The following is a 944-nucleotide window of genomic DNA, read 5'->3' on the forward strand; positions in this document are numbered from 1 at the left end:
TTACTGATTTCCTAATGTGGAAGCTTAGATGATTGATTTTAGGGCTTTTTTTATTCTTTTCTAATATATGTATTCAGTGCTCTAAATTTCCATCTAAGTGCTACTTTCATTGCATCCCACACATTTTAATAAATTGGGTTTTCGTTTTCATCCAGCCCAAAGTACTTTTATTTTATTTTTTGAGAAATGGCCTCACTCTGTCACCCAGGGTTGAGTGCAGTGGCATGATCACGGCTCACTGCAGTCTTGACCTCCCAGGCTTGGGTGATCCTCCCACCTCAGCCTCCCGAGTAGTTGCGACTATAGGAACGTGTCACTGTGCCCAGCTAATTTTTGTATTTTTTGTAGAGGCTGTGTTTCACCATGTTGCCCAGCTGATCTTAAACTCCTGAGGTCAAGCCATCAGCCCGCCTCTGTCTCCCAAAGTTCTGGGATTACAGGTGTGAGCCACCACACCCAGCCTCAAACTATTTTTAAATTTCTTTTGAGATGTCTTCTTTGACCCATGAGTTACTTATTAATAGAAGTATGTTGTTTAATCTCTGTGTATTTTGAAATTTCCAGTTATCTTTGTTATTGATTTCTAATTTAATTCTACTATGGTCTGAGAGCATACCTTATATGATTTCTCTTCTCTTAAATTTGTTAAGGTATGCTTTATGGCTCAGAATGTGGTCTGTCTTTGGTGAATGTCCCATCTGAGCATAAGACAAATGAATTGCCTTTGTGCTTTTATAAAAAATCATTTGTTTTTGTACATTTATATGTGGGTTTACATCTGGACTTTCTATTCTGTTCCATTGATCTATTTGTCTGCCTTTATGCAGTACCACACTGTTGTGATTACTATAATAATTTTTGGAATCAGATAGTGTTAGTCCTTTAACTTTGTTCTTTGAATCATAGATATTTTGGTTGTCTTAAGTCCATTTCATTTCCATGTG

The sequence above is a fragment of the Homo sapiens genome, chromosome 5 (assembly GCF_000001405.40).
Source record: "Homo sapiens chromosome 5, GRCh38.p14 Primary Assembly".
NCBI classification, from domain to species: domain Eukaryota; kingdom Metazoa; phylum Chordata; class Mammalia; order Primates; family Hominidae; genus Homo; species Homo sapiens.